Source organism: Homo sapiens, chromosome 12 (genome assembly GCF_000001405.40).
Source record: "Homo sapiens chromosome 12, GRCh38.p14 Primary Assembly".
Taxonomy (NCBI): Eukaryota; Metazoa; Chordata; class Mammalia; order Primates; family Hominidae; genus Homo; species Homo sapiens.
This window is the reverse complement of record NC_000012.12, coordinates 37,300,433-37,321,497: the sequence shown is the minus strand read 5'-3', so window position 1 is coordinate 37,321,497 and position 21,065 is coordinate 37,300,433.

Below are 21,065 nucleotides of genomic sequence, written 5' to 3'. Positions count from 1 at the left end.
TGGGAGACTTTAACACCACACTGTCAACATTAGACAGATCAACGAGACAGAAAGTCAACAAGGATACCCAGCAATTGAACTCAGCTCTGCACCAAGCAGACCTAATAGACATCTACAGAACTCTCCACCCCAAATGAACAGAATATACATTTTTTTCAGCACCACACCACACCTATTCCAAAATTGACCACATAGATGGAAGTAAAGCTCTCCTCAGCAAATGTAAAAGAACAGAAATTATAACAAACTATCTCTCAGACCACAGTGCAATCAAACTAGAACTCAGGACTAAGACTCTCACTCAAAACAGCTCAACTACATGGAAACTTAACAACCTGCTCCTGAATGACTACTGGGTACATAATGCAATGAAGGCAGAAATAAAGATGTTCTTTGAAACCAACGAGAACAAAGACACCACATACAGAATCTCTGGGACGCATTCAAAGCAGTGTGTAGAGGGAAATTTATAGCACTAAATGCCCACAAGGGAAAGCAGGAAAGATCCAAAATTGACACCCTAACATCACAATTAAAAGAACTAGAAGAGCAAGAGCAAACACATTAAAAAAGCTAGCAGAAGGCAAGAAATAACTAAAATCAGAGCAGAACTGAAGGAAATAGAGGCACAAAAAAACCTTCAAAAAATTAATGAATCCAGGAGCTGGTTTTTTGAAAGGATCAACAAAATTGATTGACCGCTAGCAAGACTAATAAAGAAGAAAAGACGGAAGAATCAACTAGACGCAATTAAAAATGATAAAGGGGATATCACCACCGATCCCACAGAAATACAAACTACCATCAGAGAATACTACAAACACCTCTACGCAAATAAACTAGAAAATCTGGAAGAAATGGATAAATTCCCCGACACATACACTTTTCCAAGACTAAACCAGGAAGAAGTTGAATCTCTGAATAGACCAATAACAGGAGCTGAAATTGTGGCAATAATCAATAGCTTACCAACCAAAAAGAGTCCAGGACCAGATGGATTCACAGCCGAATTCTACCAGAGGTACAAGGAGGAACTGGTACCATTCCTTCTGAAACTATTCCCATCAATAGAAAAAGAGGGAATCCTCCCTAACTCATTTTATGAGGCCAGCATCATCCTGATACCAAAGCCGGGCAGAGACACAAACAAAAAAGAGAATTTTAGACTAATAACCTTGATGAACATTGATGCAAAAATCCTCAATAAAATACTGGCAAATCGAATCCAGCAGCACATCAGAAAGCTTATCCACCATGATCAAGTGGACTTCATCCCTGGGATACAAGGCTACTTCAATATATGCAAATCAATAAATGTAATCCAGCATATAAACAGAACCAAAGACAAAAAACACATGATTATCTCAATAGATGCAGGAAAGGGCTTTGACAAAATTCAACAACCCTTCATGCTAAAAACTCTCAATAAATTAGGTATTGATGGGATGTATTTCAAAATAATAAGAACTATCTATGACAAACCCACAGCCAATATCATACTGAATGGACAAAAACTGGAAGCATTCCCTTTGAAAACTGGCACAAGAGAGGGATGTCTTCTCTCACCACTCCTATTCAACATAGTGTTGGAAGATCTGGCCAGGGCAATTAGGCAGGAGAAGGAAATAAAGGGCATTCAATTAGGAAAAGAGGAAGTCAAATTGTCCCTGTTTGCGGACGACATAATTGTATATCAAGAAAACCCCATTGTCTCAGCCCAAAATCTCCTTAAGCTGATAGGCAACTTCAGCAAAGTCTCAGGATACAAAATCAATGTACAAAAATCACAAGCATTCTTATACACCAACAACACACAAACAGAGAGCCAAATCATGAGTGAATTCCCATTCACAATTGCTTCAAAGAGAATAAAATACCTAGGAATCCAACTCACAAGGGATGTGAAGGACCTCTTCAAGGAGAACTACAAACCACTGCTCAAGGAAATAAAAGAGGATACAAACAAATAGAAGAACATTCCATGCTCATGGGTAGGAAGAATCAATATTGTGAAAATGGCCATCCGGCCCAAGGTAATTTACAGATTCAATGCCATCCCCATCAAGCTACCAATGACTTTCTTCACAGAATTGGAAAAAAAAAAACACGTTAAAATTCATATGGAACCAAAAAAGAGCCTGCATTGCCAAGTCAATCCTAAGCCAAAAGAACAAAGCTGGAGGTATCACACTACCTGACTTCAAACTATACTACAAGGCTACAGTAACCAAAACAGCATGGCACTGGTACCAAAACAGAGATATAGATCAATGGAACAGAACAGAGCCCTCAGAAAAAATGCCACATATCTACAACTATCTGATCTTTGACAAACCTGAGAAAAACAAGCAATGGGGAAAGGATTCCCTATTTAATTAATGGTGCTGGGAAAACTGGCTAGCCATATGTAGAGAGCTGAAACTGGATCCCTACCTTACACCTTATACAAAAATCAATTCAAGATGGATTAAAGACGTGAACGTTAGGCCTAAAACCATAAAAACCCTAGAAGAAAACCTAGGCAACGCCATTCAGGACATAGGCATGGGCAAGGACTTCATATCTAAAACACCAAAAGCAAAGGCAATAAAAGCCAAAAATGACAAATTGGATCTAATTAAACTAAAGAGCTTCTGCACAGCAAAAGAAACTACCATCAGAGTAAACAGGCAACCTACAAAATGGGGGAAAATTTTCACAACATACTCATCTGACAAAGGGCTAATATCCACAATCTAAAATGAACTCCAACAAATTTACAAGAAAAAAACAAACAACCCCATCAAAAAGTGAGCAAAGGACATGAACAGACACTTCTCAAAAGAAGACATTTATGCAGCCAAAAACCACACGAAAAAATTCTCATCATCACTGGCCATCAGAGAAATGCAAATCAAAACCAAAATGAGATACCATCTCACACCAGTTAGAATAGCAATCATTAAAAAGTCAGGAAACAACAGGTGCTGGAGAGGACTTGGAGAAATAGGAACACTTTTACACTGTTGATGGGACTGTAAACTAGTTCAACCATTGTGGAAGTCAGTGTGGTGAATCTTCAGGGATCTAGAACTAGAAATACCATTTGACCCAGCCATCCCATTACTGGATATATACCCAAAGGACTATAGATCATGCTGCTATAAAGACACATGCACACGTATGTTTATTGTGGCACTATTTACAATAGCAAAGACTTGGAACCAACCAAAATGTCCAACAGTCATAGACTACATTAAGAAAATGTGGCACATATACACCATGGAATACTATGCAGCCATAAAAAATGTTGAGTTCATGTCCTTTGTAGGGACATGGATGAAATTGGAAATCATCATTCTCAGTAAGCTATCACAAGAAGAAAACACCAAACACCGCAAATTCTCACTCATAGGTGGGAATTGAACAGCGAGAACAAATGGACACAGGAAGGGGAACATCACACTCTGGGGACTGTTGTTGGGTGGAGCAAGGGGGGAGGGATAGCATTGGGACATACACCTAATGGTTGATGACGAGTCAGTGGATGCAGTGCACAAGCATGGCACATGTATAAATATGTAACTAACCTGCACGTTTTGCACATGCACCTTAAAACAAAGTATAATAATAATACAAAAATAAATAAATAAAGCAGTGTTTCAAAAGTGCTCTATCAAAAGAAAGGTTCAACTCTGTGAATTGAATGCACACATCACAAAAAAGTTTCTGAGAATACTTCTGTCTAGTATTCATGTGAAGATATTTCCTTTTCCATCATAGGTCTCAAAGCCCTAAAAATGAACATTTGCAGATTATACAGAAAGAAAGTTTCAAATCTGCTCTATCAAAAGAAAGGTTCAACTCTGTGAGTTGAATGCACACATCACAAAGAACTTTCTAAGAATACTTCTGTCTAGTTTTTTTGTGAAGATAGCACGTTTCCAACGAATTCCTCAAAGAGTTCCAAATATCCACAAGCAGATTCCACAAAAGGAGTGTTTCAAAACTGCTCTATCAAAAGAAAGGTTCAACTCTGTGAATTGAACACACACATCACAAAGGAGTTTCTGAGAATGCTTCTGTCCAGTTTTTACGCGAAGATATCTCCTTTTCCACCATAGGCCTCAAAGGGCTTTAAATATCAACTTGGAAATTCTAAAAAAAGACTGTTTCAAAACTACTCTATCAAAAGAAGGGTTCCACTCTGTGAGGTGAATGCACACATCACAAAGAAGTTCCTGAGAATGCTTCTGTCTAGTTTCTATGTGAAGATATATCCTTTTCCAAAATAGGCCTCCAATTGCTCCAAATATCCACCTGCAGATTGTACAAAAAGACTGTTTCAAAACTGCTCTATCAAAAGAAAGGCTCAACACTTTGAGTTGAATATACATATCACAAAGCAGTTTCTGAGAATGCTTCTGTCTTGTTTTTATGTGAAGATATTTCCTTTTCCACCACAGGTCTCTAAGCGCTCAAAATCAACATTTGCAGATTATACAAAAAGAATATTTCAAATCAGCTTTACCAAAAGAAAGGTTCAACTCCATGAGTTGAATGCAAACATCACAAAGAACTTTCTGAGAATACTTCTGTCTGCTTTTTTTGTGAAGACAGCCTGTTTCCAAAGAATTCCTCAAAGAGGTACATATATGCACAAGCAGATTCTACAAAACAAGTGTTTCAAAACTGCTCTATCAAAAGAAAGGTTCAACTCTGTGAGTTGAATGCACATATCACAAAGAAGCTTATGAGAATGCTTCTGTCTAGTTTTTATGTGAAGATATTTCCTTTTCCACCATAGGCCTCAAAGCGCTCCAAGTGAACACTTGCAGATTCTACAAAAAGTGTCTCAAAACTGCTCTAACAAAAGAAAGGTTCAACTCTGTGAGTTGAATGCACACATCACAAAGGACTTTCTGAGAATGCTTCCATCTAGTTTTTATGTGAAGATACCCATTTCCAATGAATTCCCCAAGAGTTCCAAATATCCACAAGCAGATTCTACAAAAGGAGTGTTTCAATACTGCTCTATCAAAAGACAGGTTCAACTCTGTTAGTTGAATGCACACATCTCAAAGAAGTTCCTGAGAATGCTTCTGTCTAGCTTTTATGTGAAGATATTTCCTTTTCCACCATAGGCTTCAAAGCACTCCAAATGAACACTTGCACATTCCACAAAAAGACTGTTTCAAAACTGCTCTATCAAAATAAGGGTTCCACTGTGTGAGGTGAATGCACACATCACAAAGAAGTTTCTGAGAATGCTTCTGTCTAGTTTTCATGTGAAGATATTTCCTTTTCCACCATAGGCCTCAAATCGCTCCAAATATCCGCTTGCAGAAACTACAAAAAGACTGTTTCCAAACCGCTCTCTCAAAAGGAAGGTTCAACACGTTGAGATGAATGCACACATCCCAAAGCAGTTTCTCAGAATTCTTCTGTCTAGTTTGTATGTATAGTTATCCAGTTTACAACGACTTTCTCAAAAAGCTCCAAATATCCACAAGCGGATTCTAGAAAAGCAGTGTTTCAAAACTACTCTATCAAAGAAAGGTTCAACTCTGTGAATTGAACACACACATCACAAAGGTGTTTCTGAGAATGCTTCTGTCTAGTTTTTATGTGAAGATATTACCTTTTCCACCATAGGGTTCAAAGCGCTCCAAATGAACACTGGCAGATCCTACAAAAAGACTGATTCAAAACTGCTCTATCAAAGGAAGGGGGCAACACTGTGAGTTGCATGCACACATCACAAAGAAGTTTCTGAGAATGCTTCTGTCGAGTTTTTATGTGAAGATATTTCCTTTTCCACCATAGGCCTCAAATCGCTCCAAATATCCACTTGCAGATACTACAAAAACACTGTTTCAGAACTGCTCTCTCAAAAGGATGGTTCAACTCTGTGAGTTGGATGCACACATCTCAAAGCAGTTTCTGAGAATGCTTCTAGTTTGTATGTGAAGATATCGCGTTAACAACGAATTCCACAAAGAGCTCCAAATATCCACGAGCAGATTCTACAAAAGGATTTTTTCAAAACTGCTCTATCAAAAGAAAGATTCAACTCTGTGAGTTGAATGCACACATCACAAAAAAGTTTCTGAGAATGCTTCTGTCTAGTTTTTATGGGAAGATATTACCTTATCCACCGTAGGCTTCAAAGCGCTCCAAATGAACACTTGCAGATTCTACAAAAAGACTGTTTCAAAACTGCTCTATCAAAGGAAGGGTTCAATTGTGTGAGTTGAATGCGCACATCTCAAAGCAGTTTCTGCAAATGCTTCTGTCGACTTATGTGAAGCATTTTATGTGAAGATATTTCCTTTTCCACCACAGGCCGCACGTCGCTCCAAATATCCACTTGCAGAGACGACAAAAACACTGTTTCAAAACTGCTCTATCAAAAGAAAAGCTCAGCTCTGTGAGTTGAATGCACACGTCACAAAGCAGTTTCTGAGAATGCTTCTATTTCGTATGTGAAGATATTCCGTTTACAACGAATTCCTCAAAGAGCTCCGAATATCCGCAAGTAGATCCTACAAAAGGAGTGTTTCAAAACTGCTCTATCAAAAGAAAGGTTCAACTCTGTGAGGTAAATGTTCACATCACAAAAGAGTTTCTGAGAATGCTTCTGCCTATTTTTTATGTGAAGGTATTTCCTTTTCCACCATAGGCCTCTAAGCGCTATAAATGAACACTTGCAGATTATACAGAAAGAATGTTTCAAAACTGCTCCAACAAAAGAAGGTTCAACTCTGTGATGCACACATAACAAATAACTTTCTGAGAATTCTTCTGTCTACTTTTTTTGTGAAGATAGCCCGTTACCAGTGAATTCCTCTAAGAGGTTCATATATCCACAAGCAGACTCTACAAAAGGAGTGTTTCAACACTGCTCTATCAAAAGAAAGGTCCAACTCTGTGAATTGAACACACACATCACTAAGGTGTTTCTGAGAATGATTCTGTCTAGTTTGTATGTGAAGATATTTCTTTTTCCACCTTTGGCCTCACAGCGCTCCAAATGAACACTTGCAGATTCTACAAAAAGTGTGTTTCAAAACTGCTCTATCAAAAGAAAGATTCATCTCCGTGAGCTGAATACACACATCACAAAGTACTTTCTGAGAATGCGTCAGTCTAGTTTTTATGTGAAGTTACCCATTTCCAACGAATTCCCCATGAGTTCCAAATATCCACAAGCAGATTCTACAAAAGGAGTGTTTCAATATTGCTCTATCAAAAGACAAGTTCTAATCTGTTAGTTGAATGCACACATCTCAAAGAAGTTCCCGAGATTGCTTCTATTTTTTATGTGAAGATATTTCCTTTTCCACCATAAGATTCAAAGTGCTCCAAATGAACACTTGCAGATTCTACAAAAATACTTTTTCAAAAATACTCTATCAAAAGAAGGGTTCCACTCTGTGAGGTGAATGCACACATCACAAAGCAGTTTCTTAGAATGCTTCTGTCTAGTTTTTATGTGAAGATATTTCCTTTTTCACAATAGGCCTTAAATCGCTCCAAATATCCACTTGCAGGTACCACAAAAAGACTTTTTCAAAACTGCTCTCTCAAAAGAAAGGTTCATCTCTGTGAGTTGAATGGACAGATCACAAAAAGGTTTCTGAGAATGCTTCTGTCTAGTTTTTATGTGAAGATATTACCTCTTCCACCATAGGCTCCAAAGCGCTCCAAATGAACAGTTGCAGATACAACAAAAAGACTGTTTCAAAACTGCTCTATCAAAGGAAGGGTTCAACCGTGTGAGTTTAATGCACACATCACAAAGCAGTTTGTGAGAATGCTTCTGTCTATTTTTTATTTGAAGATATTTCCTTTTCCACTTTAAGTCTCAAATCGCTCCAAATATCCACTTGCAGATACTACAAAAACACTGTTTCAAAACTGCTCTCTCAAAAGGAAGTCTCAACTCTGTGAGTTGAATGCAGACATTACAAAGCAGTTTCTGAGAATGCTTCAATTTTGTTGGTGAATATATCCTGTTTACAATGAATTCCTCAAAGAGCTCCATATATCCACAAGCAGATTCTTCAAAAAAAGGAGTGTTTCAAAACTGCTGTATCAAAATAAATGTTCCACTCTTTGAGTTGAATGCACACATCACAAAAAAGTTTCTGAAAATGCTTCTGTCTAGTTTTTATGTGACAATATTTCCTTTTCCACCATAGGCCTCTATGCGCTCAGAATAAACACTTGCAGATTATACAGAAGGAACTTTTCAAATCTGCTCTATCAAAGGAGAAGTTCCACTCTGTGAGTGGAATGCACTCATCACAAAGAAATTAATGAGAGTACTTCTGTCTACTTTTTTTGTGAAGATAGCCCGTTTCCAACGTATTCCTGAATCACCTTCATATATCCACAAGCAGATCCCTCTAAAGGAGTGTTTCAAAACTGCTCTATCAAAAGAAAGGTTCAACTCTGTGAATTGAACACACACATAAGAAAGGTGTTTCTGAGAATGCTTCTGTCTAGTTTTTATGTGAAGATATTACCTTTTCCACCATAGTCCTCACAGCACTCCAAATGATCACTTGCAGATTCTACAAAAAGTGTGTTTCAAAACTGCTCTAACAGAAGAAAGGTTCAACTCTGTGAGTTGAATGCACACATCACAAAGAACTTTCTGAGAATGCGACTGTCTAAGATTTATGTGAAGTTAACTGCTTCCAAAGAATTCCACAGGAGTTCCAAATATCCACAAGCAGATTCTACAAAAGGAGTGTTTCAATACTGCTCTATCAAAAGACAAGTTCAACTCTGTTAGTTGAACGCACACATATCAAAGAAGTTCCCGAGAATGCGTCTGTCTATTTTTTATGTGAAGATATTTCCTTTTCCACCATAGGATTCAAAGCGCTCCAAATGAACACTTGCAGATTATACAACAAGACTGTGTCCAAACTGCTCTATCAAAAGAAGGGTTCCACTCTGTGAGGTGAATGCCCACATCACAAAGACGTTTCTGAGGATGCTTCTGTCTAGTTTATTTTTCTGAAGATAGCCCGTTTCCAAAGAATTGCTCAAAGCATTCCAAATATCCACAAGCAGATTCTAGAAAAGGAGTGTTTCAAAACTGCTCTATCAAAAGAAAAGTTCATCTCTGTGAATTGAACACACAAATCACAAAGGAGTTTCTGAGAATGCTTCTGTCTAGTTTTTATGTGAAGATGTTTCCTTTTCCACCTTAGGCCTCTAAGCGCTCAGAATGAAAACTTGCAGATTATACAGAAGGAATGTTTCAAATCTGCTCTGTCAAATGAAAAGTTCAACTTTGTGACTGGAATGCACACATCCCAAAGAAATCTGTGAGAAACCTTCTGTCTACTTTTTTTGTGACGATAGCCCGTTTCCAACATATTCCTGAGACACTTTCATATATCCACAAACAGATTCCTCAAAATGAGTGTTTCAAAACTTCTCTAACAAAAGAAAGGTTCAACTCTGTGAATTGAACACACATATAAGACAGGTGTTTCTGAGAATGCTTCTGTCTACTATTTAAGTGAAGATATTTTCTTTTTCACCGTAGTCCTAACAGCACTCCAAATGATCACTGGCAGATTCTACAAAAAGTATGTTTCAAAACTCCTCTATCAAAAGAAATGTTAAACTCTGTGAGTTGAATGCAAACATCACAAAGAACTTTCTGAGAATGCGTCTGTTTAGGTTTTATGTGAAGTTAACCGTTTCCAAAGAATTCCCCAGGAGTTCCAAATATCCACAAGCAGATTTTACAAAAGGAGTGTTTCAATTGCTCTATCAAAAGACAAGTTCAACTCTGTAGTTGAATGTACACATTTCAAAGAAGTTCCCGAGAAGGCTTCTGTCTATTTCTTATGTGAAGATATTTCCTTTTCCACCATAGTATTCAAAGCGCTCCAAATGAACACTTGCAGATTACACAAAAATACTGTTTCAAAACTACTCTATCAAAAGAAGTGTTCCACTCTGTGAGTTGAATGCCCACATCACAAAGCCGTTTCTGAGGATGCTTCCGTATAGTTTTATTCTGAAGATAGCCCGTTTCCAACGAATTCCTGAAAGAGTTCCAAATATCCACAAGCAGATTCTAGAAAAGGAGTGTTTCAAAACTGCTCTATCAAAAGAAAGGTTCATCTCTGTGAATTGAACACACAAATCACAAAGGAGTTTCTGAGAATGCTTCTGTCTAGTTTTTATATGAAGATATTTTCTTTTCCACCATAGGCCTCAAAGCTCTCCAAATGAACACTTGCAGATTTTTCAAAAAGAGTTTTTCAAAACTTGTCTGTCAAAAGACAGTTTCAACTCTGTTAGCTGAATGCACACATCACAAGGAAGTTCCCGGGAATGTTTCTGTCTAGTTTCTATGTGAAGATATATCCTTTTCCAACATTGGCCTCAAATCGCTCCAAATATCCACCCACAGATTGTAAAAAAAGACTGTTTCAAAACTGCTCTATCAAAAGAAAGGCTCAACTCTGTGAGTTGAATGTACACATCACAAAGCAGTTTCTGAGAAAGCTTCTGTCTAGTTTTTACGTGAAGATATTTCCTTTTCCACCATAGTCTTCAAATCGCTCCAAATATCCACTTGCAGATACTACAAATACACTATTTGAAAACTGCCCTCTCAATAGGAAGGTTCGTCTCTATGAGTTGAAAGCACACTTCACAAAGTGTTTCTGAGAATGCTTCTATTTTGTATGTGAATATATCCCCTTTAAAACGAATTCCTCAAAGAGCTCCAAATATTCACAAGCACATCCTACAAAAGGAGTGTTTCAAAACTGCTCTATCAAAAGAAAGTTTCAACTCTGTGAGTTGAATGCACACCTCACAAAAAACTTTCTGAGAATGCTTCTGTCTAGTTTTTACGTGAAGATATATCCTTTTCCAACATAGGCCTCAAATCTCCCAAATATCCATCTGCAGATTATACAAAAAGACTGTTTCAAAACTGCTCTATCAAAAGAAAGGCTCAGCTCTGTGAGTTGAATGCACACATCAAAAAGCAGTTTCTTAGAATGCTTTTGCCTAGTTTTCATGTGAAGATATTTCCTTTTAAACCAGAGGCCTCATATCGCTCCAAATACCCACTTGCAGGTACCACAAAAAGACTGTTTCACAACTGCTCTCTCCAAAGGAAGGTTCAACTCTGTGAGTTGAGTGCACACATCACAAAGCAGTTTCTGAGAATGCTTCTGTCTCGTTTGTATGTGAAGATATTTCCTTATCCACCATAGGCCTCTAAGCGCTAAAAATGGACACTTGCAGACTATACAGAAAAAATGTATCAAATCTGCTGTTTCAAAAGAAAGTTTCAACTCTGTCAGATGAATGCACACATCACAAAGAACTTTCTGAGAATACTTCTGTCTACTTTTTTTGGGAAGATAGCCCGTTTCCAACGAATTCCTCAAAGAGTTTCATATATCCACAAGCAGATTCTACAAACGTAGTGTTTCAAAAGTGCTCTATCAAAAGAAAGGTTCAATTCAGTGAATTGAACACACACATACAAAGAGTTTCTGAAAATGCTTCTGTCTAGTTTTTATGTGATGATATTTCCATTTCCAACATAGGCCTCAAAGTGCTCCAAATGAACACTTGCAGTTACTACAAAAAGTGTGTTTCCAAACTGCTCTATCAAAAGAAAGGTTCAACTTTGTGAGTTGAATGCATACATCACAAAGAACTTTCCGAGAATGCTTTTCTCTATTTTATATGTGATGTTATCAATTTCCAAATAATTCCTCAAAGAGTTCCAAATATCCACAAGTAGATTCTACAAAAGGAGTGTTTCAATACTGCTCTATCAAAAGACAGGTTTAACTGTGTTAGTTGAATGCACACATCTCAAAGAAGTTCCTGAGAATGCTTCTGTCTAGTTTTTATGTGAAGATATTTCCTTTTCCACCATAGGCCTGAAAGCGCTCCAATGAACACTTGCAGATTCTACAAAAAGTGTGTTTCAAAACTGCTCTTTCAAAAGAAGTGTTCCACTCTGTGAGGTGAATGCACACATCAAAAAGCAGTCTCTGAGAATGCTTCTGTCTAGTTTTCATGTGAAGATATTTCCTTTTCCATCTTATGCCTCAAATCACTGCAAATATCAACTTGCAGATATTCAAAAAGACTGCTTCAAAACTGCTCTCTCAAAAGAAAGCTTCAACTCTGTGAGTTGAATGCACACATCACAAAGCAGTTTCTGAGAATGCTTCTGTCTAGTTTGTATGTGAAGATATACCGTTTCCAACGAATTCTTCAAATAGCTCCAAATATCCACAAGTAGATTCTACAAAAGCAGTGTTTCAAAACTGCTCTATGAAAAGAAAGTTTCAACCCTGTGAATTGCATGCACACATCACAAACAAGTTTCTGAGAATGCTTCTGTATAGTTTTTATGTGTAGATATTTCCTTTTCCACCATAGGATTCAAAGAGCTCCAAATGAACACTTGCAGATTCTACAAAAATACTATTTCAAAACTGCTATATCAAAGGAAGTGTTCAACTCTGTGAATTGAATGAACACATCACAAAGCAGTTTCTGAGAATGCTTCTGTCTAGTTTGTATGTGAAGATATCCCGTTTCCAACGAATTCCTCAAATAGCTCCAAATATCCACAAGTAGATTCTACAAAAGCAGTGTTTCAAAACTGCTCTATGAAAAGAAAGTTTCAACCCTGTGAATTGCATGCACACATCACAAACAAGTTTCTGAGAATGCTTCTGTATAGTTTTTATGTGTAGATATTTCCTTTTCCACCATAGGATTCAAAGAGCTCCAAATGAACACTTGCAGATTCTACAGAAAGACTGTTTCTTAAGTGCTCTCTCAAAAGAATGGTGCCACTCTGTGCGGTGAATGCACACATCACAAAGGAGTTTCTGAGAATGTTTCTGTCTCCTTTTTATGTGAAGATATTTCCTTTTCCATCATAGGCCTCAAATCGCACCAAATATCCACTTTGCAGATACTACAAAAAGACTGTTTCAAAAATGCTCTCTGAAAAGATAGATTCAACTCTGAGTTGAGTGCACACGTCAAAAAGCAGTTTCTGAGCATTCTTCTGTCTATTTTGTATGTGAAGATACACCATTTACAACGAATTCCTCATAGAGATCCAAATATCCACAAGCAGATTCTAGAAAAGCAGTGTTTCAAAGCTGCTCTATCAAAAGAAATGTTCAACTCTGTGAATTGAATGCACACATCACAAAAAAGTTTCTGAGAATGCTTCCGTCTAATTTTCATGAGAAGATATTTCCTTTTCAACCATTGTCCTCAAAGCGCTCAAACTGAACACTTGCAGATTATACAGAAAGAAAGTTTCAAATCTGCTCTATCAAAAGAAAAGTTCAACACTGTGAGTTGAATGATAACATCACAAAGAACTTTCTGGGAATACTTCTAGTTTTTTTGTGAAGATAGCCCCTTTCCAACGAATTCCTCAAAGAGTTCCAAATATCCACAGGCAGTTTCTACAAAAGGAGTGTTTCAAAACTGCTCTATCAAAAGATAGGTTCAGCTCTGTGAATTGAACTAACACATCACAAGGGAGTTTCTGAGAATGCTTCTGTCTAGTTTTAAGTAGAGATATTTCCTTTTCCACCACAGGCCTCAAAGCTCTCCAAATGAACACTTGCAGATTGTACAAAAAGAGTGTTTAAAAGCTGATCTGTCAAAAGAAAGGTTCAGATATGTTAGCTGAATGCACACATCACAAAGAAGTTCTTGAGAATGCTTCTGTCTAGTTTTAAGTGAAGATATTTCCTTTTCCACCACAGGCCTCAAAGCTCTCCAAATGAACACTTGCAGATTGTACAAAAAGAGTGTTTAAAAGCTGATCTGTCAAAAGAAAGGTTCAGATATGTTAGCTGAATGCACACATCACAAAGAAGTTCTTGAGAATGCTTCTGTCTAGTTTTTATGTGAAGATATATGCTTTTTCAACTTAGGCTTCAAATCGCTCCAAATATTCACCTGCAGATAATACATAAAGACTGTTTCAAATCTGCTCTATCAAAAGAAAGGCTCAGCTCTGTGAGTTAAATGCACACATCACAAAGCAGTTTCTTAGAATGCTTTGCTCTAGTTTTTATGTGAAGATATTTCCTTTTACACCTGAGGCCTCAAATCGCTCCAAATATCCACTTGCAGGTACCACAAAAAGACTGTTTCTAAATTGCTCTCTCAAAAGGAAGGTTGAAATCTGTGAGTGGATGGCACACACCACAAAGCAGTTTCTGAGAATGCTTCTGTCTAGTTTTTATGTGAAGATATTTTCTTTTCCACCATAGGCCTCTAAGCTCTTAAAATGGACACTTGCAGATTATACAGAAAGAATTTTTCAAATCTGCTCTATCAAAAGAAAGTTTCAACTCTGTTAGTTGAATGCACACATCACAAAGAACTTTCTGAGAATATTTCTGTCTATTTTTTTTTGTGAAGATAGCCCGTTTACAACAAATTCCTCAAAGAGTTTCATATAACCACAAGCAGCTTCTACAAAAGTAGTGTTTCAAAACTGCTCTATCAAAAGAAAGGTTTAACTCTGCGCATTGAACACACACATCACAAAGTTGTTTCTCAGAATTTCTCTGTGTAGTTTTTATGTGAAGATATTTCCTTTTCAACCATAGTCCCCAAAGCGATCTAAATGAACACTTGCAGATTCCACAAAAGTGTGTTTCAAAACTACTCTAACAAAGGAAAGGTTCAACTCTATGAGTTGAATGCACACATCAGAAGAACTTTCTGAGAATGCTTCTGTCTATTTTTTACGTGAAGATACCCGTTTCCAAAGATTTCTCCAAGAATTCCAAATATCCGGAAATAGATTCTACTAAAGGAGTGTTTCAATACTGCTCTATCAAAAGACAGATTCAACTCTATTAGTTGAATACACACATCGCAAGGCAGTTTCTGAGAATGCTTCTGTCTCTTTTGTATATGAAGATATCCCGTTTACAACGAATTCTTTAAAGAGATCCAAATATCCAAAAGCAGATTCTACAAAAGGAGTGTTTCAAAAGTGCTCTACCAAAAGAAAGTTTCAACTCTGAGTTGAATGCACACATCACAAAAAAGTTTCTGAAAATGTTTCTGTCTAGATTTTGTGTGAAGATATTTCCTTTTCCGCCATAGAACTGTTAGAGCTCAAAATGAACACTTGCAGAATATACAGAAAGAATGTTTCAAATCTGATCTAACAAAAGAAAGGTTCAACTCTGTGAATTGAATGCACACATCACAAAGGACTTTCTGAGAATACTTCTGGATAGTTTATTTCTGAAGATATCCCGTTTCCAACGAATTCATAAAGAGTTTCATATATCCACAAACAGATCCTACAAAGGGAATGTTTCAAAACTGTTCTGACAAAAGAAAGGTTCAACCCTGTGAATGGAACACACACATCAAAAACGTGTTTGTGAGAATGCTTCTGTCTACTTTTTATGTGAAGATATTACCTCTTCCACCATAGGCTTCAAAGCGCTCCAAAGAAACACTTGCAGATTCTACAAAAAGACTGTTTCAAAACTGCTCTATCAAAAGAAGGGTTCAAATCTGTAAGTTGAATGCACACATCACAAAGCAGTTTCTGAGAATGCTTCTGTCCAGTTTCTACGTGAAGATATTTCCTTTTCCACCATAGGCCTCTAAGAGCTCATAACGAACACCTGCAGATTATACAGAAAAAATGTTTCACATCTGCTCTATCAAAAGAAGGGTTCAACTCTGTGATTTGAATGCACACATGACAAAGAACTTTTTGTGAATACTTCTGTTTATTTTTTTTCTGACGATAGCTCATTTCCAACGAAATCCTCAAAGAGTTTCATATATCCACAAGCAGATTCTACAAAAGAAGTGCTTCAAACTGCTCTGTCAAAATAAAGGTTCAACTCTGTGAATTGAACACACACATCAGAAAGTTGTTTCTGAAAATGCTTCTGTCTTGTTTTTATGTGAAGATATTTCCTTTTCCACCCTAGGCAGCAAATCACTCCAAATATCCACTTGCAGATAGTACAAAAACGTTGTTTCAAAACTGCTCTCTCAAAAGGAAGTTTCATTTCTGTGAGTTGAATGCACACAATAACAAAGCAGTTTCTGAGAATGCTTCTAGTTTGTATGTGAAGATTTCCCGTTTACTACAAGTTCCTCAAAGAGCTCCAAATATCCACAAGCAGATTCTACAAAAGGAGTGTTTCAAAAGTGCTCTATCAAAAGAAATGTTCAACTCTGTGAGTTGAATGCACACATCACAGAAAAGTTTCTGGAAATGCTTCTGTCTAGTTTTTATGTGAAGATTTTTCCTTTTCCACCATAGGTCTCTAAGCGCTCAAAGGAACACTTGCAGATTATACAGAAAGAATGTTTCAAATCTGCTTTATCAAAAGAAAGGTAGAACTCTGTGAATTGAATGCACACATCACAAATAACTTTCTGAAAATACTTCTCTCTAGTTTATTTCTGAAGATAGCCCGTTTCCAATGAATTCCTACAGAGTTTCAGATTTCCACAAACAGATTCTACAAAAGGAGTGTTTCAAAACTGTTATATCAAAAGAAACGTTCAACTCTGTGAAGTGAATACACACATCACGAAGGTGTTTCTGAGAATGCTTCTGTCTAGTTTTTAAGTGAAGATATTTTCTTTTCCAACATAGTCCTCAAAACGCTCCAAATGAACACTTGCAGATACTACGTAAAGTGTGTTTCAAAACTGCTCTATCAAAAGAAAGGTTCAACTCCGTGAGATGAATGCACACATCACAGAGAACTTTCTGAGAATGCTTCTGTCTAGTTCTTATATGAAGATACCTTTTGCAACGAATTTCCCAATAGTTCCAACTTTCCACAAGCAGATTCTTCAACAGGAGTGTTTCAATACTGCTCTATCAAAAGACAGGTTCAACTCCGTTAGTTGAATGCACACATCTCAAAGAAGTTTCTGAGAATTCTTCTTTCTCGTATTATGTGAAGATATTTCCTTTTCCACCATATGTTTCAAAGCGCTCCAAATGAACACTTACAGATTTTACAAAAAGATTGTTTCAAAACTGCTCTCTCAAAAGGAAGGTTCAACTCAATGTGTTGAATGTACACATCACAAAGCAGTTTGTGAGAATGCTTCTGTCTGGTTTTTATGTAAAGATATTTCCTTTTCCATCATAGGCCTCAAATAGCTCCAAATATCCACTTGCAGATACTACAAAAAGACTGTTAGGTACCTGCTCTCTCAAAAGGAAGGTTCAACTCTTTGAGTAGAATGCACACATCACAAAGCAGTTTCTGAGAATGCTTCTCTCTAGATTGTATGTGAAGATATCCCGTTTACAATGAATTCCTCAAAAAGATCCAAATATCCACAAGCAGATACTACAAAACAGTGTTTCAAAACTGCTCTATCAAAAGAAAGGTTCAACTCTGTGAAAGGAATGTACACATCACAAAAAAGTTTCTGAGAATGCTTCTGTCTAGTTTTCATTTGAAGGTGTTTCCTTTTCCACCGTAGGCCTCAAAGCGCTCAAAATGAACACTTGCAGATTATACAGAAAGAAAGTTTCAAACCTGCTCTATCAAAAGAAAGGTTCAACTCTGTGAGTTAAATGCACATATCACAAAGAACTTTCTGACAATACTTCTCTCTGTTTTTTTTTCTGATGATAGCCCGTTTCCAACGAATTCCTCAAGGAGTTTCATATATCCACAAGCAGATTTTACAAAATTAATGTTTCAAAACTGCTCTATCAAAAGAAAGGTTCAACTCCGTGAATTGAACACACACATCACAAAGCTATTTCTGAGAATGCTTCTGTCTAGTATTTATGTGAAGATATTCCCTTTTCCACCATAGGCCTCAAAGAGCTCCAAATGAACATTTGCAGATTCTACAAAAAGAGGATTTAAAACCTGGTCTATGAAAAGAAAAGTTCTACTTGGTAAGTTGAATGCACACATCACAAAGTACTTTCTGAGAATACTTCTGTGCAGTTTTTATGTGAGGATAACCATTTCCAAAGAGTCCTTAAAGAGTTTCAAATATCCTCAAGAAGATTCTGCAAAGGGAGTGTTTCAATACTGCTCTATGAAAAGACAAATTCAACTCTATTCTTTGAATGCACACATCTCAAAGGAGTTCCTGAGAATGCTTCTGTCTAGTTTCGATGTGAAGATATTTCCTTTTCCTCCCTAGGCTTCAAAGCGCTCCAAATGAACACTTGCAGATACTACAAAAAGACTATTTCAAAACTGCTCTATCAAAAGAAGGGTTCCACTCTGTGAGATGAATGAATGCAACACAAAGCAGTTTCTGAGAATGCTTCTGTCTAGTTTTTATGTGAAGATTTCTCTTTTCCATCATAGGCCTCAAATCGCTCCAAATATCCACTTGCAGATACTACAAAAAGACTGTTTGAAAACTGCTCTCTCAAAAGGATGGTTCAATTCTGTGAGTTGAATGCACACATCACAAAGCCGATTCTGAGAATGCTTCTGTCTCGTTTGTATGTGAAGGTATCCCGTTTACAACGAATACTTCAAAGAGCTCCAAAGATCCACAAGCAGATTCAACAAAAGCAGTGTTTCAAAACTGCTCTATCAAAAGAAAAGTTCAAATTTGTGAATTGAATGTACACATCACAAAAAATTTTCTGAGAATGCTTCTGTCTAGTTTTCATGTGAAGATATTTCCTTTTCCACCGTAGGCCTCAAAGCGCTCAAAATGAACACTTGCAGATTATGCAGAAAGAAAGTTTCAAATCTACTCTATCAAAAGAAAGGTTCAACTCTGTTGGTAGAATGCACACATCACAAAGAAATTTCTGAGAATACCTCTGTCTAGTTTTTTGGTGAAGATAGTCCGTTTCCAACAAATTCCTCAAAGAGTTCCAAATGTCAACAAGCAGATTCTACAAAAAGAGTGTTTCAAAACTACTCCATCAAAAGAAAGGATTAACTCTGTGAATTGAACACACACATCACAAAGGAATTTCTGGGAATGCTTCTGTCTAGTTTTTATGTGAAGATATTTCCTTTTCCACCATACGCCTCTAAGCTCTCCAAATGAACACTTGCAGATTTTACAAAAAGAGTGTTTCAAAACTGCTCTGTCAAAAGAAAGGTTCAATTATGTTAGTTGAATGCACACATCACAAAGAAGTTCCTGAGAATGCTTCGTCTAGTTTTTATGTGAGGATATTACCTTTTCCATCATAGGCCTCAAATAGCTCCAAATATCCACTTGCTGAAACTACAAAAAGATGGTTTCAAATCTGCTCTCTCAAAAGGAAGGTTCAACTCTGTGAGTTGAATGCACACGTCACAAAGCAGTTTCTGAGAATGCTTTGTATAGTTTGTATGTGAAGATATCCCATTTACAATGTATTCCTCAAAGAGCTCCAAATATACACAACAGATTCCACAAAAGCAGTGTTTCAAACTGCTCTATCAAAAGAAAGTTTCAACTCTGTGAATTGAATGAGCACATCACAAAAATGTTTCTGAGAATGCTTCTGTCTAGGTTTCATGTGAAGCTATTTCCTTTTCCACCATAGGCCTCAAAGCCCTCCAAATATCCACCTGCAGATATTACAAAAAGACTCTTTCAAAACTGCTCTAGCAAAAGAAAGACTCAACTCTGATTTCAAAGCACAAATCACAAAGCAGTTTCTGAGAATACTTCTGTCTAGTTTTTTATGTGAAGATATCCCGATTCCAACGAATTCCTCAAAGAGGTCCAAATATCCGCAAGCAGTTTCTACAAAAGGAATGTTTCAAAAGTGCTCTATCAAAAAGAAAGTTCAAACCTGTGAGTTGAATGCATACATCACAAAAAGTTTCTGAGAATGCTTCTGCGTAGTTTTTACATGAAGATATTCTCTTTTCCACCAAAGGCTTCAAAGTGCTCCAAATGAACACTTGGAGATTCTACAAAAAGACTGTTTCAAAACCACTCTATCAAAAGAAGGCTTCAACTCTGTGAGTTGAATGCACACATCACAAAGCAGTTTCTGAAAATGCTTCTGCATAGTTTTTACGTGAAGATATTTCCTTTTCCACCAAAGGCTTCAAAGCGCTCCAAATGAACACTTGGAGATTCTACAAAAAGACTGTTTCAAAACCTCTCTATCAAAAGAAGGATTCAACTCTGTGAGTTGAATGCACCCATCACAAAGCAGTTTCTGAGAATGCTTCTGTCTAGTTTTTATGTGAAGCTGTCCCGTTTACAACGAATTCCTAAAAGAGCTCCAAATACCCACAAGCAGATTCCAAAAAAGGACTGTTTGAAAACTGCTCTATCAAAAGAAAGGTTCAACTCTGTGAGTTGAATGCACACATCACAAATAACTTTCTGAGAATGCTTCTGTCTAGTTTTTATGTGCAGATATCCCGTTTCCAACAAATTCCTCAAAGAGTTCAAAATATCCATAAGCAGATTCTGCAAAAGAAACGTTTCAAAACTGCTTTATCAAAAGAAAGGTTGTAGTCTGTTAGTTGAATGCACACATCTCAATGAAGTTCCTGAGAATGCTTCTGTCTAGTTTTTATGTGAAGATATTTCCTTTTCCATCATAGGCCACAAAGCACTCCAAATATCCACTGAAAGATACTGCAAAAAGACTGTTTCAAAACTGCCCTCTCAAAAAGAATGTTCAACTCTGTCAGTTGAATGGACACATCACAAAGAACTTTCTGAGAATGCTTCTGTCTAGTTTTTATGTGAGAGTATTTCCTTTTCTACCATAGGCTTCAAAGCGCTCAAAATGAACACTGGCAGATTCTACAAAAAGAGTGTTTCAAAACTGCTCTATCAGAAGAAAGGTTCAACTCTGTGAGATGAATGCACACATAACAAAGAAGTTTCTGAAAATGCCTCTGTCTAGTTTTCATGTGAAGATATTTCCTTTTCCACCATAGGCCTCAAAGCACTCCAAATGAACACAGGCAAATTCTACAAAAAGAGTGTCGCAAAACTGCTCTATCAAAAGAAATGTTCAAGTCTGCGAGTTGAATGCACACATCACAAAGTGGTTTCTGAGAATGCTTCTATCT